This window comes from Homo sapiens, chromosome 18 (genome assembly GCF_000001405.40).
Source record: "Homo sapiens chromosome 18, GRCh38.p14 Primary Assembly".
Lineage (NCBI taxonomy): Eukaryota > Metazoa > Chordata > Mammalia > Primates > Hominidae > Homo > Homo sapiens.
The window spans coordinates 36,044,651-36,068,962 of record NC_000018.10 but is presented as its reverse complement, the minus strand read 5'-3'; the positions used below and the strand labels follow the sequence as shown (position 1 = coordinate 36,068,962).

General features: G+C 39.4%; 1 protein-coding gene across 4 annotated transcripts in view, besides 4 other annotated features; it reads left to right on the top strand.

Annotated features, from left to right (window-relative positions):
• Nucleotides 1,166-1,681: an enhancer, noted in NCBI's record as "H3K27ac hESC enhancer chr18:33647245-33647760 (GRCh37/hg19 assembly coordinates)". NCBI's record gives its function as "activates a minimal SCP1, AML or CMV promoter by ChIP-STARR-seq in naive H9 embryonic stem cells {active_cell/tissue: H9 hESC(naive)}" and the evidence as "EXISTENCE:reporter gene assay evidence [ECO:0000049][PMID:30033119]".
• Nucleotides 1,166-1,704: a biological region, named in NCBI's record as "H3K27ac hESC enhancer GRCh37_chr18:33647245-33647760".
• Nucleotides 1,225-1,454: an enhancer, noted in NCBI's record as "active region_13233". NCBI's record gives its function as "activates an Ori minimal core promoter by ATAC-STARR-seq in GM12878 lymphoblastoid cells {active_cell/tissue: GM12878}" and the evidence as "EXISTENCE:reporter gene assay evidence [ECO:0000049][PMID:35858748]".
• Nucleotides 1,404-24,312, top strand: part of RPRD1A (regulation of nuclear pre-mRNA domain containing 1A) — a 77,736-nt gene continuing 54,827 nt past the window's right edge. For all 4 annotated transcript variants that reach the window (NM_018170.5, NM_001303412.2, NM_001303411.2 and 1 more), the window contains exon 1: nucleotides 1,404-1,709. In NM_018170.5, the coding sequence (NP_060640.2) occupies nucleotides 1,559-1,709 (151 nt within the window). In that variant the 5' untranslated portion in view covers nucleotides 1,404-1,558. The remainder of the gene's footprint in view (nucleotides 1,710-24,312) is intronic.
• Nucleotides 1,565-1,704: an enhancer, noted in NCBI's record as "active region_13232". NCBI's record gives its function as "activates an Ori minimal core promoter by ATAC-STARR-seq in GM12878 lymphoblastoid cells {active_cell/tissue: GM12878}" and the evidence as "EXISTENCE:reporter gene assay evidence [ECO:0000049][PMID:35858748]".

Here is a 24,312-nt window from a genome sequence, read left to right as displayed (position 1 = left end):
ACCACATACTCCAGCCTGGGCAACAGAGTAAGACCCGGTCTCAAAAAAAATTTTAGAATATGATGGTGTATGCATTAGATTAACAATGAGATTTCTGTAATTAATTTTTAACTATATAAGTAATATATTCACGTATTCTTTTTGTAAAAATGAAAACAATATGGACACAATTTAAGGGCTCCAATTCTGATCCTCTCCCTGAGACCAGTATTCATGTGGTGTGTATTCCTCCAAACCTTTGCCATGAGTTTACGTACTTGTGAACCCATATGAACTACATACCTTTAAACAAGAAGTGGTATACTATACTTTTGCTTCTGTAATTAAAAAAAAATCCAGCTGGGCATGGTGGCTCACACCTGTAATCCCAGCATTTTGGGAGGCCAAGGTGGGAGGAATGCTTGAGCCCAGGAATTCGAGGTTGCAGTAAGCTGTGATCATGGCACTGAACTCCAGTCTGGGTGAGAGTGAGGCCCTCTCTCAAAAAGAACCTCATAAAAACCCACTCAAACCCTTCCAAATCCACCATATCTTGGATTAATCCATATTTTAAACTGCTGCATGTATTATGGAATATAGACGTATCTGTGTAGACTGCAACAGTGAATGTTCCAATTTTTCACTGTTACTGTGTTGGACTGAACACCTAGAATAAGCTTCCTGGTGCAAACATGCTGGTGTTTTTTCCAGCACTGACAGCAATTAGTGAAATTGCTAGGAAAGAGTATTCTTATAATTTTTAAATTTTTATTCATTTTTCATTTTTGTGGGTACATAGTAGGTGTATATATTTATGGAGTACATAAGATATTTTGGTACAGGCATGGCAATGCCTAATAATCGCATTATGCAAAGTTGGGTATCCATCCCTTTAAGCATTTATCCTTTGTGTTACAAACAATCCAATTATCCTTTTAGTTATTTTAAAATGTACAATTAAATTATTACTGACTCTAGTCCCCTGTCATGCTATCAAATACTAGGTCCTATTTATATTTAGTCCTTCTATTAGTCCTTCTATTTAGCCCTCCCCCACTACCCTTCCCAGCCTCTGGTCACCATCCTATACTCTATTTAGGAAGGTGTATTTTTAACCGTAATTGGTCATGCAAATAGTCTTTAAAGTGCCTGCCCCAATTTATACCAGTTTACATGCCTATGTAGAGATCTGTAATCACTGCTTCTTTGACAGAGTTTCCATTAAGGAGGGTTCAGGCCTGGCAAACTCCCACCATGCCTCTGAGAGTAACCCAGGCATCACGCCCCTGTCCGCCTCCCCTGCACTTGTTTCGACTCCGCCCCTTCCGCCTGGCGGTTCCACTTCTCGGCCGCGCGTTTTCCCAGGGCTTGCAGCGGGAGGGGCGGGGCGTGGGTCCCTGTGACGTCACTGCCGGCCGGACGCCATCTTGCTGGTTTGCGGCCGGTCTTGGATGAAGCGGCGGCCGTGGTGAGAGCGTGGGGAAGGGTGGGGTGAGGGGGCGAGGCCGCAGCTAGGGCGGCGAAACTCTCCTCCCCTCGGCCCCACCGCGTGGGACGGCGTGAACGTGGTGTCGGAGGGATGTCAGCCTTCTCTGAGGCGGCGCTGGAGAAGAAGCTGTCGGAGTTGAGCAACTCGCAGCAGAGCGTGCAGACCTTGTCCCTGTGGCTCATTCACCACCGTAAACACTCGCGTCCCATCGTCACCGTGTGGGAGCGGGAGCTGCGGAAAGGTGAGTCAACCGCTTATGTCGGCCGCTTCCCACCACCCGGCCGGCCTCCAGGCGCCCCCGGGAACCCCGTTTCTCCAGCGCCCCCGGCTTCCCGGCGTCGGGATGCCAGCGCGCGGTGGTCTGCGGGCTTGGAGGAGCTGCGTGCACCACGCTTCTGCAAAGTCTGGGCTTAGATATTTATTGAATAAAGGAATGAATAATTAAAAAAGAAAACTCCGGTTAGCTTAACACGGAAACAGTAGCAGGGGGTTGGGACTCCACACCCAATTAGGGCCAGAAATTCAGGTGGTCAGGTATTTTTTTCATTCTGTGAATGATAATGGAGGATAAGGGAGGGAGAAGGTAGGGGAGTGGAAAGAAAAAGATTGGTGTGGGTTTGGGAGTTACTTCCGTCATTTCTGTAACGCAGCAACTTATTCTTGTGAAATTAATAGAGGAATAGTTTTAGAAGTCTAATATAAGAAGATGGGTAATGCAGTGGAAAAGACTCTGAATTTGTAGATTTTAGAGGGTCTCAATTGGGCAAGTTTCTTATAACTTCTGCGTTGCAGATGCCTTACCTGAAAAGGAGAGATTTAGAGTAAGTCACCTAAAGTCCTTTCCTATTCTATGATTATATGCCCTAATGCAGTGTCTTTGTTTTGCAAAACATTTGATAGTGTTCCTGTAAATGAAGTAAACTTTTTTGAGATGTCTGTCACTAAAATATTCAGAATCAGTTCATGTATGCAGAGCAACTTTGTAAAAAATTATCCTAGTGCGACTGAAAATAAAAAATTTCATTTGCTTAGTCTGAGCTTGTACTTTAATTCTTAATTCATTGGGTAGAGTGGACACTCTTCATTATTGTTGCAAACATCCTGATGGATATGATGGTTTTTTATCAAGTGTTAAAGGTTTTAACCGTTATTAATCAAAATAGACGCTTGCTTACTGAACCTTGTGAAAGCTATATGATGTATGTACGTAACAGCCAAAATGTGAGCCAAAATGTTGGCTGTATATAATGGAGACAATCTGTCCTTGTATATTGTTTGTGGTTATGAAAACGTCACCCATCCTTGAGAAGAAATTGATTTACAGCCTTGTTTTTCAGTTTATGTGTAAGTATGTGTGTATTGGCCCTGAATGAGGAATTCATCTTCTGTGAGTGGACGGAAAGGTTTCAGAAACACTGATATAAAGGTCTGGAAAGTAGCTGTGAACTTTGAAAAGTCAGGAATTAGCTTTGCTTTTACATTTTACTAGATTTCAGAATCGGTAACAGGTTTATCTTGTTTTTTGTTTTTGCAGAGAGCATTTAGAAACACATGTAATCAGTATAGGGTTGATACCCAGACTCTCTTAATAACTATTACAAATCAGTAAAAAAAAAAAATGGCAGTACTGTTTATAGGCATTTCACGTGAGGAAACCTGAAAGGTCAATAAATGATACTTAATCTTACAAATCAGGAAAAAGTAAGCCAGTGAGGTACCACTTTATGTTCATCAATTTGGCAAAATAATATGACAATATGGATAATTGTTGCAGAGAAACAGGAACTCTTATACCACTTGGTGGGAATGTAAAAATATGTAACTATTTTGTAGATCAACTTAGTTGATGAAGTTGGAGGTATATATTAAATATATCCTTTGACCTAGCAGTTTTCTTTCTAGGAATATATTCTAGAAATAAGTATTGTTCTCAAGAATTGTTTATTGCAGCTTCATAATAACAAAATTGAAAACAAGTGAGACCCTGCCTGTGCAACATAGTGAAACCTTTTCTTTACAAAAAATAAGAAAACAAAAAAACCATTCCATTAGTTTGAGAATGGACAAATAAATTGTGATATTAATAAAATGTAATACTATCGAAAAGTTCTCACGAATGGACTAGAGCTGCATGAAACAACGTGACTGAATTGAAAAACAAACAAAATCTTGAGCTAAGAAAACAAGGTACAGACGAATAATGCTATGGGGGTAAAGTCTAAAAACATGCAAAACAGTACTTCTTTTGTTTATAGATACCTATATTAAAATATGCATAGTAGTGATTAACACCATATTCCAAGATAGTGGTTGTCATAGTGTGTCCAGAATTGGTGGGTTCTTGGTCTCGCTGACTTCAAGAATGAAGCTGTGGACCCTCGCGGTGTTATAGTTCTTAAAGATGGTGTGTCCGGAGTTTGTTCATTCTGATGTTCAGACATGTCTGGAGTTTCTTTCTTCTGATGGGTTTGTGGTCTCGCTGGCTTCAGGAGTGAAGCTGCAGACCTTCACTGTGAGTGTTACAGCTCTTAAAGGCAGTGCGTCTGGAGTTGTTCCTTCCATCCGGAGTTGTTGGTCCCTCTCGGTGGATTCGTGGTCTCGCTGGCTTCAGGAGTGAAGCTGCAGACCTTCGCGGTGAGTGTTACAGCTCATAAAGGCGGCAGGGACCCAAAGAGTGAGCAGCAGCAAGATTTATTGTGAAGAGTGAAAGAACAAATCTTCAACAGCAGGGAAGTGGACGCAAGCGGGTTGTTGCTGCTGGTTTGGGTGGCCTGCTTTTATTCTCTTATCTGGCCCCAGCCACGTCCTGCTGATTGGTCCATTTTACAGAGAGCTGATTGGTCCGTTTTGACAGAGTGCTGATTGGTGCGTTTTATGATCCTTTAGCGAGACACACAGCACTGATTGTTGCATTTACAAACTTTTAGCTAGACACAGAGTGCTGATTGGTGTGTTTACAAACCTCTAGCTAGGCACAGAGCACTGATTGGTGCGTTTACAAACCTTGAGCTAGACACAGAGTGGTGATTGGTGCGTTTACAATCCTTTAGCTAGACAGAAAAGTTTTCCAAGTCCCCACCTGACCCAGAAGCCCAGCTGGCTTCACCTCTCAATGGCACTCGCCGCGGGACTTTGCGGCACCTAGCTTGGGCACTCTAGCAGCCCAGAGGGAGCTCGTCCCCCATCAAGCCCAGCAGGCACCCACCCGGAACCGCGCGTAGCCCAGGCTCCTGCCGGCGCCTCTCTCTCTACACCTCCCTGAGAGCAGATGGAGCCGGCTCCGGCCTCTGCCAGCCGCAGAGAGGGGCTCCCACAGTGCAGCAGCGGGCTGAAGGGCTCCTTGAGCACGGCCAGAGCAGACGCCGAGGCCGAGGAGGCGCCGAGAGCGAGCAAGGGCTGCTAGGACGTTGTCACCTCTCAATAGGAGAAAGCTATCTAATATTTAATGTATTTAAGAAAATGGTGCAAATGTGGTAAAATTGTAAGATGTGCTTTTAGCAAGGTTTGTGATGTTTCCATATGTTTAAGTGTTTCATAAGTGGAAAACGTTAAAGCATATAAAAAGATGCTTTAGGAGGAGGGTGGTAGTGATGATAGTGTTGATAGTAACGGTGATGCTGATGAACATACCGCTGCCGCTTTAATCCTCATATTAGCCTGGGCTACTCTGCCAAGGGTTTCCTTTTCTTGACAGATGACTGCTTTTGCAGGGTGTAGCCTTTGTGTCCTTCCCCTTTCCTGCAGTTTTGCTCATCAACTTCAGGATTCTCATCTCCTGTAGTTTAATGATAATGGCAATCAGTTACTGAGTACCAGACATTCTTTTAGTTATTTTACCATATCTTGAATCACATTATTTCTGCAGAATAATTATGAAAGGAATCGATCAATCTTGAAAGTATATTACAACAAACTAAAGAAAATTAGTTGAACATTTTGTGTTAAGCTAGGCATTCTTTAGTTTCTCAAAGTGTGTAAAGACAAAAATGTGAGAGTGGGAGAAGCTACTGTTTAAAATAAAAGAATGAGCTGGGTACTGTGGCTCATGCCTGTAATCCCAGCACTTTAGGAGGCTGAGGGAAGTGGATTGCCAGAGCTCAGGTGTTCGAGACCAGCGTGGTCAACATGGCAAAACCCTGTCTCTACAGAAAATACCAAAATTAGCTGGGCATGATGGCGCAGGCCTAAGGAGGCTGAGGTTGGGGGGTCACTTGAGCCCAAGAGGTTTAGGCTGCAGTGAGCCAAGTGCGCCACTGCACTCCAACCTGGGCGACAGAGCAAGGCCCTGTCTCAGAAAACAAACAAACAAAAAAATATAAGAATGAATAAGTAAAATTATATATGTTAGATAATGGTAGCCATTCAGTTATGAAGGTTTCCCTTCTTTTCCTACCTTCCTTATCTTTGTCTCCTTTAAAGAAAGAGTTTCTGTTTGGAGGGATAAACTTCAAGGCCTTTGTGAAGACCAAAATGGCATACAATTTTCCTGATAAATGCAGTAAAGTGTAACCAAAAATGTAAGTGACCATTTTGTTACTTCTTTATTAAGATGTAATTCACATACCACACCTTTTATCCATTCAAAGTATACTATTCAGTGGTTTTTGATATGTTTATAGAATTGTAAAGCTACCACCAGTTTTAGAACATTTTTATTACCCAGAAAGAAACTCCATGCCATTTAGCTGTTGTCCCCAGTCCCCCATCTCTCCCAACCCTAGGCAACTGCTAATTTACTTTGCCTCTATAGATTGGACTATTTTTACCATTTCATATGAATAGAATTATATAGTATGTGGTCTTTTGTGTGTTTTCCATCCATGCTATAACATGGATGAGCCTGGAAAACATGTTAATTAAAAGAAGCCAGTTGCAAAAGACCACTTACTGTCCTTCAGTCTTTTCTATGGCCGAATAGAATATTGTATGAATTTAGCCATTCATCAGTTGATAGACGTTCGAGTTGTTTCCGCTTTTTGGCTATTATAAATAATGCTGCTGTGAGCACTCCTGTACAAGCTTTTTTTTTTTGTGGATATGTTTTCATCTTGGATACTTACTGAGGAGTGGAATTTCTGGGTCATATGGGAATCCTATGTTCAACCTTTTGAGGATCCACCAGGCTATTTTCCACAGTGGGTACATGTTTTTTTTTTTTTTTTTTTTTTTTTGAGACGGAGTCTCGCTCTGTCGCCCAGGCCGGACTGCGGACTGCAGTGGCGCAATCTCGGCTCACTGCAAGCTCCGCTTCCCGGGTTCACGCCATTCTCCTGCCTCAGCCTCCGGAGTAGCTGGGACTACAGGCGCCCGCCACCGCGCCCGGCTAATTTTTTGTATTTTTAGTAGAGACGGGGTTTCACCTTGTTAGCCAGGATGGTCTCGATCTCCTGACCTCATGATCCACCCGCCTCGGCCTCCCAAAGTGCTGGGATTACAGGCGTGAGCCACCGCGCCCGGCCATGTTTTTAAAATACATTCCTACAAGCAGTGTATGAGGGTCCAGTTTTTCTACATCCTTGCTAATATTTGTTATCTTTTTGATTACAGCTGTCCTAGTGGGTATGAAGTGGTATCTCATGATTTTGATATGCATTTCCCAGATGACTAATGACACTGAGCCTATTTTCATGTACTTATTGGCCATTTGGATGTTGTCTGGAGAAATGTCTATTCTGCCTATTTTAAAATTTGTCTTTTTATGATTGAGTTGTAAGTGTTCCCAATGTATTCTAGGTACAAGTATTGTATTAGATTCATACCACAAATATTTTCTTCCATTCAGTGGGTTGTCTTTTTACTTTCTTAATAGTGTCCTTTGAAGGTGACTGTTTTAAACTGTAAATGTCTCAGTCAATACTAGGCTAAATTTTAAAACTTAATATACATCATTAATTTATATTCATTTCTGTAGAAATATTGACCATGAACATACCTGAACTTAGAAACCAACACTAACATTTGGGCTCTTTTCTACACACACTCGCTGAAAGATCTCTATAAGAGCTGTACAAAACAAGATAGATAGGAGGAAATTCTTTGTAGTTGGTGAAGGTCACTGCCTTCCCTAGTCTAGTGATTGTATCCTTTGTACCAGCCTCTTTTATGTTATATTGGTGTCTTAACAAAACTGTAAGTGCCTCAACCCCTTAAAGTATGTTTACTCACCCTGTATTTATTGATTGTGTATTACAATGGTAAAGAAAACAAAGGGAAAACAGTTTATCCCTGCCCTCAGAATTTATAGTCTTGTGGTAAGGGCAACCAATAAACAAAAAATTTTAAATATAAATTTCGTGTTTAGTTCTTTGAAGGAGGAAATCTTTAGTTAGAGGGAAATCATCTCTGCAAGGTGACGTTTAATAAAAGACCTCTTTGAACAAGTTGCGGGGGTAGGGGGGCTTGGGCCTGCAGCCACTGGGAATATGTGAAAGTGCTGAGGTGATACATAGCTTTGGATGCAAAGAGCCAAACCTGGAAATGGTCAGCCTTTGAATGCCTGTTAACTTTGTTTCCTAAATTTTTTTTTTTTTATGAGACAGTGTCTCACTATGTTGCCGAGGCTGCTCTTGAACTCTTGGGCTCAGGTGATCTTCCTGCCTCAGCCTCCCGAGTAGCTGGGACTACAGGTGCACACTACCATGCTGGGCTTATTTTTTCTAGGGTTGGCAACAATTAAAATAATACATTATTTAAGGTTTAGATTTTCCTCCTATTTGTAATCATTTGTTGAAATCATCACTTTTTCAATAAGCTATGTTAGATATCTTTCAGGGAACTAATTACCATTTTATATTGTATTATAGGTTGGGGGGTTACATATTGGTTGTGAAGTAGATAGTGGGCTCCTTCAGGTTGTTTACCTATTTCAATTTTTAGCTCCCCAGCATACTGCGTTTGATGAAAGTTTTTAAATATTCGTTGAATTAACATTCGTATTCACTAATACGGCTTAAACTTGTAAGATGTGCTAAAATAAGTACTGTATATTCTTGGCTGTTCTTATTAATTTGGTTTTAGAAAAATGGAGAAGTGAAAGAACATTTTTCTTTTTTATTTTTTTTGAGACAGAGTCTCGCTTTGTTGCCCAGGCTGGAGTGCAGTGGCGCGATCTCGGTTCACTGCAACCTCCACCTTCCCGGGTTCATGCCATTCTCCTGTCTCAGCCTCCCAAGTAGCTGGGACTATAGGCGCCCGCCACCATGCCTGGCTAATTTTTTTGTATTTTTAGTAGAGATGGGGGTTTTACCGTGTTAGTCAGGATGGTCTCGATCTCCTGACCTCGTGATCCGCCCACCTTGGCCTCCCAAAGTGCTGGGATTACAAGCGCGAGCCACCACACCCGGCCAAAAGAACATTTTTCATTTGCTTTAAAAATATATAGCAATATAAATCCTAAAAATGAAGAGAGTCTGTTTTAAATTGACAGTTCAGTGGCTTTTATATTGTCTGATACTGTTACTTGTTTCTCTTTCAGAGTTAGAATTGAAAAAGTAAGTAGACAATGCTAGCACCTTCTAAGTTCTTATATTTAAAAGGATTAATGTTGTCAAACTGACATGGTGACTCCCATGTAGTCATCTTGCAGCTTCAATAGTTATAGTCTTTCTTAACACTTAAAAAAACTTAATTTCTTAAGATATCAAATATTGAGCCAGTATTTATTTCCGTGATCATTTCACTTTTTTAGAAGCCATTTGTTTGAATCAGGATCCAAGTAAAGTTCATTTATTGCAATTGATTACTATGTAAATAAAGTTCCTTTACATCTATGGGTGCCATCTGTCTTTTATTTTAAATGTATTCTTTGAAAAAATCAAATTGGTTGTTCCAAAGAAATTCTTATTCTAGACCAGGAATTTCTCCTACTTTCTGGTTTGAGGATCTCTTTACTCTTAAAAATTGAAGATTCTAAATCTTTTGTTTATGTGGGTTATATCTACCGCTAGTTACTACATTGGAAATTAAAACACTTAAAAATTTATTTAATAATTATTTGTTTTAAAACTATAATACTAAATCGATTCATGTTAAATAATATTTTAAAAATTTTTAATTAAGGCCAGGTATGGTGGTGCATGCCTGTAATCCCAGCACTTTGGGAGACTGAGGCAGGCAGATCACATGAGGTCAGGAGTTTGAGACCAGCCTGGGCAACATGGCAAAACCATGTCAGTACTAAAAATTTAAAAATTAGCCAGACGTGGTGGTGCACATCTGTAATCCCAGCTACTTGGGAGGCTGAGGCACAAGAATCACTTGAACCCGGGAAGCGGAGGTTGCAGTGAGCTGAGATTACTCCAAGCCTGGGTGACAGACTGTATCTCAAAAAAAAAAAGATTTTTAAAATTACAAATGGACACATTGTAATTGTATGTATTTATGGGATACAGTTTGATGTTTTGATAGATGTATATGTTGGTCTAATGATCAAATAAGGGTAGTTAGTATCCATTACCTCATGCAATTATCGTAACATAACATTTTTAATGAAAACCAATTATATTTGCTAAAAAATACCAGGGAAAGGAGTGATTATTTTACATTTTTCCAGATCTTTATAAGATCTCTCTTAATAGAAGCCTGCTGAATTCTCGTGTCTTTTTCTGCATTCAGTCTTGCTGTATCACATGACCTCTGCAAAACAACACTGTACGCTTGTGAGAGAATGAGAGTGAAAAAAGGCAAATAATAGATGAGCATTCTTGTGAAAGTAGTTCTGACTTAATTGACCCCATGAAAGTGTCTTGACCCCCTGGAATCCACAGACTGTTGGCTGAGAAGTGGACCATTTTCTGAATATTGATAATTAGATCAAGAGACTAGGATACATTGCTTTGCCTTAAGCAGACATATCCCTCTAAAATATTAATTCCCCAGAAAAGCAGAAACTGAATTTATAAAATTTCCCTTTGGCCCGTAACGTAATTTTATTTAGGTTCTCTTTCCTGTGACGTTAAGGTTTTTTAAAAAAAGTTGTTGATTTGATGTTTTTACATCTGATTCAACAAATTATCTCTACATTTCTTATAAAAATAAAAGTGTGTTCCTACATTAAACAAACAATCTGTAATTTTACAGGCTTTTTTTCTTGATAAAATAAATTTTTCATTCAAAATGTACAAGTAGAAGTTTCTTCTGTTGGTTTTCTGGCCGGGCGCAGTGGCTCATGCCTGTAATCCCAGCCAGCACTTTGGGAGGCTGAGGCGGGTGGATTGTTTGAGGCCAGGAGTTTGAGACCAGCCTGGGTAACGTGGCAAAACCCTGTCTCTACTAAAAATACAAAAATTAACAGGGTGTGGTGGTGCATGACTGTAGTCCCAGCTACCCAGGAGGCTGAGGTAGGAGGATTGCTTGAGTCTGGAGGCAGAGGTTGCAATGAGCCATGATCTGACCAGTGCAGTCTGGCCTGGGCAACAGAGTGAGACCCTGTCACAAAAAATACAAGAAGTTTCTTCTATTAGGTTTCTTTATTCAAGAAATACTTGTTGACCTCCTTACTGTCTTAGTGAACAAGGATGATTGAGCAGATAAAGGGACATACAGCTGTGTTCATGGAGCTTACATATCAGCCAGGCAAATGGACTTTGCCAAACTAGTAACTGCACAGTAATACAAAGGAGAAATGTAATTGGGAACCTATCCTAGTTTATGGAATCAGGGAAGGGTCCTTTGGTTTAAGATTTGAAGTATATGTAGAATTTACTAGGAGCTGTACCAAGAATATAGACATAGGTTTTAGCTGTTGTAATCATTTGAATGTGGTGTTATGTAGAACAGCATTATTTGACTTTTCAAATTGAACATTTCTGTTCATAAGTCCTTTCTGGAGGTAGACAGGATAATACACATTTAGATAAACTTTTATTTATTTATTTATTTTTTTGAGACAGGGTCTTACTCTCTCACCCAGGCTAGAGTGCAGTGGCATGATCTCAACTCACAGCAACCTCTGCCTCCTGGGCTTAAGCGATCCTCCCACTTCAGCCCCCTGAGTACTGGGACTATAGGTGCACACCACCATGCCTGGCTAATAATTTTTTTTGTATTTTTTGTAGAGACCGTGTTTGCCATATTGCCCAGGCTGGTCTCAAACTCCTGGGCTCAAGTGATCCTCCCGTTTTGGCCTCCCAAAGTGCTGGGATTACAGGCATGAGCCATGGAGCCTGGGCTAGATAAACGTTTAGTGTTTTATGTCTGAAAATAAGTGACTTAAGGTGTGTGTATGTGTGTGTGTGTGTGATATATATATATGTTTGTTGTTGTTGTTCTTGTTTTTTGAGAGACAGGGTTTGGCTCTGTTGCCCAGGCTGGAGTGTGGTGGCCAATCAAGGCCCACTGCAGCCCCAACCTCCCAGGCTCAATCAATCCTCCTGAGTAGCTAGGACCACAGGTGCATGCTACCATGACTGGCTGATTTTTTTTTTTTTTTTTTTTTTTTTTTTTGTAGAAACAGGGTCTAGCTGTGTTGCTGAGGCTGGTCTCGAACTCCTGGGCTCAGATGATCCTCCTGTCTTGGCCTCCCAACGTGCTGGGATTATAGATGTCAGCATCATGCCTCACCTTTTTTATTTATTTTTGTTTGTTAAAATGTATTAAGAGGATTATACAGAAAAAAGAAAAATAGAAGGACTATAATGATGAATTATTTATTTAGTCACCTTGCTGTCATCTGAGCTTTTTGGTCATTTTGGTTCTCTTGCATAACTTGTGGCTGTTCTAAGGTGCCTGTTCATCTTGTTCTCCTTTTTATAGCTTTTTCTTCTTTGTATCTGTAATAACTGGTAATTTTTTTTTAACAAAATGGTTTACCATACTTACGTTGAATGCTTGGATTTTCCAGGTGTATTTCTAAAAATACTTATTTAGTAGGTAATATGCAAATAATATGAAATTTAAAAGGCAAAAAAGGCTGGGCATGGTGGCTCACACCTGTAATCCCAGCACTTTGGGAGGCCGAAGTGGGCAGATCACTTGAGGTCAGGAGTTCAAGACCAGCCTAGCCAACATGGTGAAACTCTGTCTCTACTAAAAATACAAAATTTAGCTGGGTGTGGTGGCAGGCACCTGTAATCCCAGCTACTTGGGAGGCTGAGGCAGGAGAATCGCTTGAACCTGGGAGGTGGAGGTTGCAGTGAGCCGAGATTGTGCCACTGCATTCTAGCCTGGGAGACAAAGCAAGACTCCCATCTCAAAAAAAAAACACAAAAACCCAAAAGGCTGTAAAGAATGTTATATGGGTTCTTTCCATTCCTATTCCCTCCTTAACCATTTCTCTACCCAGAATCAGTCTGTTAACAGTTTAATGGCATTGCTTCATTTTAAAAAATGATTGCATTGTATTTCATTTTATGGATGTGCCAAAATTTACATAATTGTTATTCTGTTGATGAAAGTTTAGGATGTCAGTTTTTTCTATTAAAATTTTTCTATTAAAATTTATAAATTTATGTTTGTTAGTAAATATTCTAGTATTTTCTTAATGGTTTCAGGTGATGATTTAAGAGACCTTGATAGAAGTGCTAGGCATTAGTGTATCACACAATTTTGTGAAAAGTTCATTTTTACCTCTACCCATTTGAAATGCTACCTTAAGTTTTTCTGTGTATCTGGGTGTATTTTCATTCTCATTCTGTTGCATTGATCTGTCCACTCATGTTGCACTGTTATACTCTTTATTATGTTTTCATGTCTGATAGGACATCCACCCTCTCAGACATGCTTTTTTCCCTTCAGCAATTACTCTTCCCTGTTTCAGAGTTTTCTTGTGTATTCTTATTTTGTTTCTCTATATAAATTCTAGAATCAATTTGTTATTTATAAGAACAAATTTTTTGATATTTCTGGAATTATCACTTTAATTTGTTACGGTATCTGAAAGAATGTACGTCTTTATAATGGCAAATGTCAGGCTGAGAACTGTGCAGTCTTATTTTAAATGTGTATTTGTTTAAGTGATTTTCAGATGTCACTTCATGATGCTTTGTAAAAAATCTCTAAAGAGTATCATGAAATGCACATGTAAGTTTGAAATAATTGTCTAACTTTGTGCTAAATGTATCTTACTTGATTCTCGTACAGGCTAATAGAAGGAAGTATTGAAGGATTAAGTTGCATTATGAAAAAAGACTTAAAACTGAAAACATCAATTAGTTTTTCTCTAAGTTGGGAAATGATTTGTATTGATTGATTTTTGTGATGGCACACTTTGGTCCAGTTAAAGGAACATCATTTTGCTTCAGAGTATAGTTTAAAAATACCTTAGACATTTAATCTAGCAAATCATTTTTGTCAAGGACAGTATTTTTGCCAAACTATCAAAAAATTTCACTTTTCTTAGTTGAATATCATGAGGTATTATCTTGAACAGCATTTGTGATGGTTAATTTTCTGTGTCAACTTGACTGGGCAACAGGATGTCCAGACATTCAGCCAGCCATTTCTGGATATGTGTGTGGAGGTGTTTTCTGGATGAGATGAACATTTAAATCAGACTGAGAAAAACAGATGCCCTCCCTAGTGTAAGTATGCCTTATCCAGCCAGTTGAAGACATAAATAGAACGAAAAGGTTGATTCTTCAGTGAATAAGAGAGAACTTCTGCTGACTGCCTTTGAGCTGGGACTTTTTTTTTTTCTTTCTTTTTTTCTCCTGCCTTTGGACTCAAACTGAAGTATTGGCTGCTCTTCCAGGTCTCCAGTTTGCCAGCCTTCAGACTTGAACTACACCATTGGTAGTCCTGGTTCTAAGGCCTTTGGACTTGGACTGGAACTACTCCATTGGCTCCCCTGGGTCTCTAGGCTCTCCTGCAGTCTGAACTGCAGATCGTGGGACTTGTCAGCCTCCAGATTTCCCATGGCCAATTCCTTATTATCAGTCAATATTTCTCTCTCTCCCTCTCTCTCTGTCCTATTGGTTCTATTTCTTTGGAGATCCCCAAGTAAAAGTAATCTGAGCACTTCATCTAGATTTACTAACATTTTATTTATTTACTTACTTACTTATTTTGAGATGGAGTCTCGCTCTGTTGCCCAGGCTGGAGTGCAGTGGCATCACCTCTGCTCACTGCAACCTCTGCCTCCCTGGTTCGTGATTCTCCTGCCTCAGCCTCCCGAGTAGCTGGGATTACAGGCGCCCGCCACCACATCTGGCTAATTTTTTTCTATTTTTAGTAGAGATGGGGTTTCATCACGTTGGCCAGGTTGGTCTTGAACTCGTGACCTCAAGTGATCTGCCTGTCTTGGCCTCCCAAGGTGCTGGGATTACAGGCATGAGCCACCATGCCCAGCCAATAGATTTACTAGCATTTAATCGGTAAATCAATTAGTGTGGGTGTATAATTTGATGCTTTATATGGTGTTTTTACTTTCTGTCATAAATATGCTGATGACTTGATGATCTTTTTTTGTAGCCCCAGTCTCAGTGTCACTGAATGGCATTTCCTAAACATCCCAAACTCATTGTGCACATAAACCCTTTTTTGTCATCTTCCCCCATTCCCATTCCTCTTCCCTGTTGCTCTGCCTTTCCTATTTCAGTGAAAGGCATTACTAATCTTCTAGTTGCCTATGCTCAGAACTTCAAGATTGTTTCAACCCCTTCCTTCATAGTTTTCTCACCTTCAGCTTTTTTTGTTGTTGTTTTTGGCAGCATCTCCCTTTTCCTTTTTCACCCCACTGCCTAGGTTCTCATATTTACTAACATTCTTGTAGTAGCCTCCCAGCGGATCTCCTTGTGTCTAATCTCATTTACCTACTAGCTGTCCTCCTTACTCATGTTAACATAGAATTACTATATGACCCAGTAATTTCACTCCTAGGTATATGTTTACGAGACTTGAAAACAAATATTCAAACAAATACTTTATAAGAATTCTCATAATAGGACTGTTCATAGTGACCAAACGATTGAAACAACCTGCATGTTCATCAGCAGATGAATGGATAAATAAATATGGTATATCCACACGCTGGAATATTATATTCAGCTATAAAAAGGAATGAAGTACTGATACATTCTACAGTGTGGAGCAACCTCAGAAACATGCAAAGCAGAAGGCGGCAGACACAAAAAGTCACGTATTTTCATGTAATTCCATAATATATGAAATATCTAGAATAGGTAAATCCATAATACTCCGGGGGCTACAGTGAAGAGAGGAATGGGGAATAACTACTTAATGGGTGTGGGCTTGTCTTTGGAGGTGCTGAAAATATTTTGGAACTAGATGGAGGTAATGGTTACATAACCTTACAAATGCACTAAAAACCCCTGAATTGTATGCTTTAAAGTGGTTAAATTTATGGTATGTGAGATTCATTTCAGTTTTATAAATGATGTAAGTATCTTGTACTTTAATGTGTCTGTGTGCTTTTATATACTTTTTCTTTTCTCTATTTCTCCTCTATCCCCTAGTCTCCAGACTCTCATGACAACTCCTCTCTGCAGGTTTTTATAGTCTCTCCTGGGAAGAATTAATTGTTCACCCACCAATCATCCCTAGTTCTGTTTTTTGAGATGGGTTCTTTAAAACTTTTTTTTTAATTTAAACTTTAAAAATTTAAATTTATAATTTCAGTTAACCTCTTAAATTTGAATTGAGGTTGGGTGTGGTGGCTCACATCTGTAATCCCAGCACTTTGGGAGGCCGAGGCGGGTGGATCACGAGGTCAGGAGCTCAAGACCAGCCTGGCCAACATGGTAAGACCCAGTCTCTACTAAAGATACAAAAAATTAGCGAGGTGTGGTGGCACATGCCTGTAATCCCAGCTACTCAGGAGGCTGAGGAAGGAGAATCGCTTGAGCTCGGGAGGTGGAGGTTGCAGTGAGCTGAGATCGTGTGATTGCACTCCACCCTGGGTGACAGGGCAAGATTCCATCCCCCCCGCCCCCAACAAAAATGAATTGATACCAACTTATCTTCAATAGCATACAAAAACTCTGTTCTTCTATAGCCCTGTCCTCCTTTTATGTTATCACAAAGTACATCTTTATATGTTGTGTGCCATTTGATAAACATGTTTTATGCATTTGATTTTTAAATCACATAGGAAACAAAAAGAGAAGTGACAAACTAAAAATACAACAATATTGGCTTTTATATTTACTTAGGGAGTTACCTTTATTGATGTTCGTTATTTCTTATGGCTTCTAGTTACTATCTATCTAGTATCCTTTAATTTCATCCTGAAGGACTGTCTTTAGGATTTCTTGTAGGTCAGGTTTACTAGTAACAAACTCTGTCAGCTTTTGTTTAGCTTGAAATGTCTTAATTTCTCCTTTAGTTTTGAAGGATTGTTTTGCTAAGTATAAAATCTTGGTTGACAGTTTTTTTTTTTTTCTGTTAGGATGTTAAATACATTGTCTCACTGTTTTCTGGTCTCGTGGTTTCTGATGAGAAATTGGGTTTTAATCTTACTGAGACTCCTTGCTGCTTTCAAGATTCTCGTTGTCTTTGTTTTTGACTGATTATAATGTGTCTTAGTGTGGGTTTGAGTTTATCTTGCTTGAAGTTTGTTAAGCTTTTTGGATTTGTAGATTCACGTCTTCAAGTTTTGGAGTTTTCAGTCATTAGTTAATCATGTATCATTTCTTCATCCCTCTCTCTTGCTTTTCTTTTTGTAACTTCATAATGCATTTGTTAACTGGCAGATCCCTTAGGCTGTGTTCATTTTTCTTCATTCTTTTTCTTTCTGCTCCTCAGACTCAATAATTTTAATTGTCTTCAAATTCAGTAATTTTCCCTGCTTTTGACATTATCCATGGTGTCATGTACTTTTAACTGTTGTTATTATAGCATTTATCTATAATAATGTGTTGAATTTCTTATTATTGGAGGACTGAACTTACTTCTTTATTCCCTCAGAACCTAGCATACAATAGACACAATAACTATGTGTTGAATGAGTTACTGAATGAATGTTGGAAAGTGTGTAGAATCTGAGGGTTTTAGAATTGGAAGGGGTATTAGAGAATATTTGTTTTTTTCTTTTAGAACTAGTGTATGATTTAGGAACTTCTGGTATCTTGAGCCAAATAATGAACCCCCAGTTATATTTTCTTGGTTGAGAAAGACCTGAAAAATTTCCAGCCTTTTTAGTCTATTATATTGTTCCACCCTTTTCATACTTAACCCTTTTTAGAGCAGTAGTCTTTAAAATATGGTCAACAGACCCCTGTGGATCACCAAGACCCTTTTAGGGGGTTATATGGGTCCAAAAGGTCAAATGATTTTGATACTACTACTTAGGCTTTTTTGTCCTTACTTGCTATATTGACGCACGTCTTGATGATATAAAAGCATAGGTGGGTGAAAACCAGTAGCACCTAATCATTAATTAAGGCAAACTGTACTAGTAATCATTGTACAGTTTTCCATTGAACAACATAGGTCTGACCTTTGTGGGTCCATGTATACATGAATTTTCTTCCATACACAGCAAGACCACCAACTCCCTAAGTTTTGGGAGGGTCAAAAATTATATGCAGGTTTTTGATTGTGTGATGGGTTGGTGCCTGTAACACCTGTGTTATTCAAAAGTCAACTGTATTTTTAATGCCACACACCCACAGTTAAAAAAAAAAATCAGTTTTACCTAATGTGCACATTAAAAGCAGTAAAAAAAAAAAAGAAAAGAAAAGAAAAGAAAAATTGATTCTGGTGTGGTAGCTCACACCTGTAATCCCAACACTTTTGGAAGCTGAGGTGGTTGGATTGCTTGAGCCCAGGAGTTTGAGACCAGCCTGGGCAGCATGGTGAAACCCTGTCTCTACAAAAAAAAAAAAAATACAAAAATTAGCTGGTTGTGGTAGTGTGTGCCTGTAGTTTCAGCTACTCCCTAATGACTAATAATGGTGAGCATAGTTTCATGTACTTATTGACTATCTGTATATCTTTTTTGGATAAATGTCTATTCAAGCAGTTTGCCTGTTTTGAATTGAGTTGTTTTTTGTTGAAGTGTAGTTTTTTTTTTATGTATATTCTGGCTATTAGTCTCTGAGAAGTTTAATGATTTGCAATCCATATATGACACACATCTTGATGATACAAAAGCAAAGGCGGGTGAAAACCAGTAGCACCTAATCATTAATTAAGGCAAACTGTACTTGTAATCATTGCACAGTTTTCCATTGAACAACATACTCTGAGGTTGGAGGATCCCCAACTCAGGAGGTTGAGGCTGTGGTGAGCCATGACTGTGCCACTGCACTCCCGCCTGGGTGACAGAGTGAGACCCTGTTTTTTTTTTTTTATAAATATGTATAACAGAATTTACAATTTCAACCTTTTTTCTTGTACAGTTCGGTGGCGTTAAGTACATTCAGTTGTGTAGCACTCATCATTATCTCCAGAACTTTTTTCCATTTTCCCAAACTGAAACTTTGTATCCATTAAACATTAACTCCCCATTTTCTTCTCCCCCAACAACCCTTTTATTTTCTGTCTCTATGCACATCAAAAGCACAAGCAGAGACCACTTCATATCCATTAGAATGGCTATTATCAAAAAACAGAAAATAACAAATGTTAGTGAGGATGTCAAAACAAGAACCCTGGCACATTGCTGGTCAGAATATAAAATGGTGCAGCTGCTATAGAAAACTGTATGGCAGTTTCTAAAAAATTTAAACATACTATTACCGTGATTCAGTAATTCCACCTGAGTATAAACTCCTAAAGAATAAAGCCAGGACTCAAACAGATATATGCACACCCATAATTCCAATGTTCCACAGCAGCATTATTCACAACAGCCAAAAGGTGAAAGCAACCCAAGTGTCCAACAACAGATAAATGAATAAACATAATGTAGTGTATACATACAGCAGAATCATTCAGCCTTAAAAAGAAAGGATATTCTGACACATGCTACAACACAGATGTACCTCAAAAACATTATGCTAAGTGAATTAAACTAGTCACAAAAGAACAAATTGTATGATTCTACTTATATGAGACACCTAGAGTAGTCACATTGATAGGTCTGACCTTTGTGGGTCCATGTATACATGAATTTTCTTCCTTATGCAGCAAGACCACCAACTCCCTAAGTTTTTTGGTGGGGGGGGTCAAAAATTATATGCAGGTTTTTGATTGTGTGATGGGTTGGTGCCTGTAACACCTGTGTTATTCAGAAGTCAACTGTATTTTTAATGCCACACACAGTTTAAAAAAGAAATTAGTTTCTCCTAATGTGCACATTAAAAGTAGTAAAAATGGCCAATTTTGTTAAATCTTGATCCTTGAGTACATTTTTGTGTGTGTGCATTTTTTCCTTGTAAAAATAATCCATGGGAGGGCATGGTGGCTCATGCCTGTAATCCCAGCACTTTGGGAGGCCGAGGGAGGTGGGTGGATCACCTGAGGTCAGGAGTTTGAGACCAGCCTAGCCAACATGGTGGAACCCCGTCTCTACTAAAAATACAAAAATTAGCCGGCAGTGGTGGCGCATGCCTGTAATCACAGCTACTTGGGAGGCTGAGGCAGGAGAACAACTTGAACCTGGGAGGCGGAGGTTGCAGTGAGCTGAGATCATGCCACTGCACTCCAGCCTGTGCAATTCAGCTCTTGCTGAATGCACTTATTAGCTGTAAACGTTTTTTTTCATAAATTCCTTGGGGTTTGCTATGCAGATAATCATGTCATCTGCAAATAAGGACAGTTTTATTTCTTCATTTATAATTTTTTCTATTTTATTTCCTTTTCTTGCCCTATTGTACTTGCTAGAATTTCCAGCACCATGTGTAATAAGACTGATGAGAATAAACAGTTATTGCCTTGTTCCTGATCAACATTCGATCTTTCTCCATTAGATGTAATGTTAGCTGTAGGTTTTTTTTTTCTTTTTTTTTTTTAGGTGCTTTTTATCAAGTTGAGGAAATTCTCTATTCTTGATTTCTGAGGGATTTTATCATGAATGATTGTTGAATTTTGTCAGAAGCCTCTTCTGCATTAATTGATTTGACCATGCAGTTTTTCTTTTTAGTCTGTTAATGTGGTGCATCACATTGAGGTTCTAATCTTGAACTAGCTTTGCATTCCTGGAATAAATTACACTTATCTGTGTTGTAAAATTCTTTTTATATGTTGCTGAATTTTATTCACTAATATTTTGTTAAGAATGTTTACATTTGGCCGGGTGCGGTGGCTCACGCCTGTAATCCCAGCACTTTGGGAGGCTGAGATGGGTGGATCACCTGAGGTCGGGAGTTTGAGACCCACCTGACCAACACTGAGAAACCCCGTCTCTACTAAAAATACAAAATTAGCCAGGTGTGGTGGCGCATGCCTGTAATCCTAGCTACTTGGGAAGCTGAGGCAGGAGAATTGCTTGAACCTGGGAGGTGGAGGTTGCGGTGAGCCCAGGTGGCGCCATTGCACTCCAGCTTGGGCAACAAGAGCGAAACTGTCTCAAAAAAAAAAAAAAAAAAAAAAGGAATGGGTACATCTGTATTAATGAAGGTGGTTGGTCTATAGTTTTCCTTTTTTGGATGCTGTGTCTGGTTTTGATATCAGAGTACCATAGCACTAACTTCATAAAATGAATTGAGATGTGTTCCCTCTTGTAGAAGAGAGTGTGTAGAATTTTAAAGATTCTTTAAACATTTGGTAAAAATCTCTGGTGGAAACCATCTGGACCTGGAGATTTCTTTTTGGGGAATTTTAAGATTGCAAACTCAATTTCCTTAATTGTTATAGGGCTATTCAAATTATCTGTTTCATATTGAGTGAGTTGTGGTAGCTTGTATTATTTGAGGAAGTGGTCCATTTTATCTAAGTTGTCAAATTTATATGCCTAGAGTTGTTCATAGTATTTCCTTTTTATCCTTTGGATGCCTGTAGGGTCTGTAGTGATATCCTGTTTTATTCCTGATATTGATAATTCTTGCTTCCCTCTTGTTTCTTTGTCATTCTGGCTAGAGGCTTTTCAGTTGTATTGTTCTTTTCAAATAACCAGTTCTTTGCTTCATTTAATTTTTTCTGCATTTTTATGTTTTTGTTTTCATTGGTCTCTGCTCTAACCTTTATTATTTCATTCCTTTTACTTGCTTGGGTTAGTTTTCTTCTTCTTTTTCTAGGTTCTTGAGGTGGGAATTTACTACAGATTATTGATTTGAGACTGTGTCTTTTTTCATGTGTACCTTTGGTATTCAGAATTTCTCTCAGCACTGCTTTAGCTATGCCCCACAGATTTTTGTTATGTTGTATTTTCAACATATTTTATATGCTAGTTAAAGGATTTTTATGATGGCTCTTGCTTTATTTATTTATTTATTTATTTATTTATTTCGAGACAGGGTCTTGCTCTGTTGCCCAGGCTGGAGTATGGTGATGTGATCGCAGCTCACTGTAACCTCCAACCTCTGGGCTCAAGCGAGCCTCCTGAATAGCTGGGACTACAGGTATGAGCCACCATGCCTGTCTAATTTTTTAATTTTTATTTTTGTAGAGATGGGGTCTCACTATGTTGCCCAGCCTTGGTGGCTGCTTTAAAGTCTTTGTAAGATCATTTTAACATCTCTACTTTGTGTTGGGATCTGTTGATGGTTTTTTCCCCATTCTGTTTCAGATCTTCCTGGTTCTTGATATGGGGTGATTTTTTTTTTTTTTAGTGGATGCATGGATTTTGGGAGGTTATGTTATGAGACTCTAGGTTTTTTTTTTTCAGATGGGCTCTCACTGTCACCCAGGCTGAAGTGCGGTGGCACCATCGTGGCTCACTGCAGCCTTGATCTCTTAGGCTCAGCAGTCCTCCCACCTCAGCCTCCTGAATACCTGGGATTACAGGTGTGTGTCACCACGCCTGGCTGATTTTGTTTTTTTTTTTCTGTGAAGACGGGGTTTCACCATGTTGCCCCGGGCTGGCCTTGAACTCCTGACCTCAAGCAATCCACCCACCCCGGCCTCCGTATAGTGCTGAGATTACAGGCATGTGCCACTGTGCTTAGCCAAGATGGTAGATTTTACTTAATCTTAACTGGGTTTCTCTGACACTGCCCCATCAGGAGAAGGAGGTACTCTGGTACTGTTGTGTGCAAGTAGAAGTTCTGGCTTTCCAGTAGGTCTCCACTGACACCGTGGGGAGGGGAGAAGGAGTATATGGTCCCATTATTGCTGTACCATGGTGAAAGTCCTGTTGTTCCACTAGGCCTCCTGTGATACAGCCCAGTGGGGAGTGTTTCTTTATTGCTGAGTGGGATTGGAAGTCTAGGTTCCCTACTTTGCTTTCTCTGACACTGCTCTGGTAGGGATGTTGGGCTCATTACAGTACTGTGAGGGTGGAAGTCTAGGCTTACCGTTTTCTTTGCTGGTATGGGTGTGGCAGAAGATTTTTTCGATGGTGTTTGGCTGGAGCAGAGCTGTTTTTGTGTAAAATGTTTTCTGTTTTGCTGTTTTAGTAGAAAAATCATGACCTATATTAAAATTTTAATATAATCATAAAAGCTCTATCACACCTAAAAAAGTTAACTATGACTCTTGGTTATCTGAAGCCCAGTCCATGTTCAGTAGCCCAGATTTCCTCAAAAATGTCTGTATAGTTAGTCTTCAAAATAGAATCCAACAATGTCCACACATGACTTTTGATAAACAGGTCTCTTAAGTGCCCCCCCTTTTTTCCCATGCAGTTTATTTGTTGAGAAGACTGTGTCACATGGATTTTAGAATTTGTCTAATTTCATTTGGCTAATTCAGCCCTCATGATGTGATTCCCAAGGAATGTTTTATTGATTGTTGGTTGTGCATTTCTGTTGCATCACATTAGGAGACAAATAATGTCACATTATTCACTAATAATAGTTACTTAGACCCATCATTTCATCAGGTTGCAAAGTTGCGAATGTCTAATTCTTTCAGTCTTTCTGAATTTATTAGGTGTGATAGAGCTTTCAGTCTTTCTGGAAGAATTAGAAATTCTTCATTTACTATTTAGAATTCTCTAACAGTGGTTCTCAAAAGTATTGTTCCCAGGCTGCCAGCATCAGTATCACCTGAGAACTTACTGAAAATGCAAATTCATGAGTCCTTTCCCAGACAGAAACTATGTAAGCAGTGACCAGTACTCTGTTTTAACAAGCTTTCTTGGTGATTCCGAGGCACACTGGAATTTGAATACCTGTTCTACAAGAGCTTTCCTTCATCAGCCTTTGGTTATTCTGAAATACAGTACATATTAGGAAAAGCAGGGTAATTTTTTCCCTTTGTCAATTGAGTTAGTTTTTTTTGCGACCTCTATTTTTTAATATATATTTTTATTTTTGAGACGGAGTATTGCTCTGTCACCCAGGATGGAGTGCAGTGGTGCGATCTTGGCTCACTGCAACCTCCACCTCCCAGGTTCAAGTGATTCTCATGCCTCAGCCTCCCGAGTAGCAGGGATTACAGGCATGCACCACCACGTCTGGCTAATTTCTGTATTTTTAGTAGAGACAGGGTTTCTTCACGTTGCCCAGGCTCATCTTGAACTCCTGGCCTCAAGTGATCCACCCACTTTGGCCTCCCAAAGTGCTGTGATTATAGGCATGAGCCACCATGCCTGGCCTATTTTTTTTAAAAGTTATCATTTTGAACTCATGGATTTGTATATGTTTGTATTTCAGACTATTGTTTTTATTTTTGATGCCCTTTTGTCAGTGGCAGCCTCTTGGAAGATTGCTTGTGTCCTTTGGATACAATTGCAGTTTTTAAAATCACTTTTATCCTTTGTAGCGTGCCAAGATGTCCTTGGTACATTTTGTGCATTTCCTGCTTTTATTTGCCAGAGGACATGAGACTTGATCTGCTTTTATTTATTTTATTTTTTATATTTTTTGATACTGAGTCTCGCTCTGTCGTCCAGGCTGGAGTGC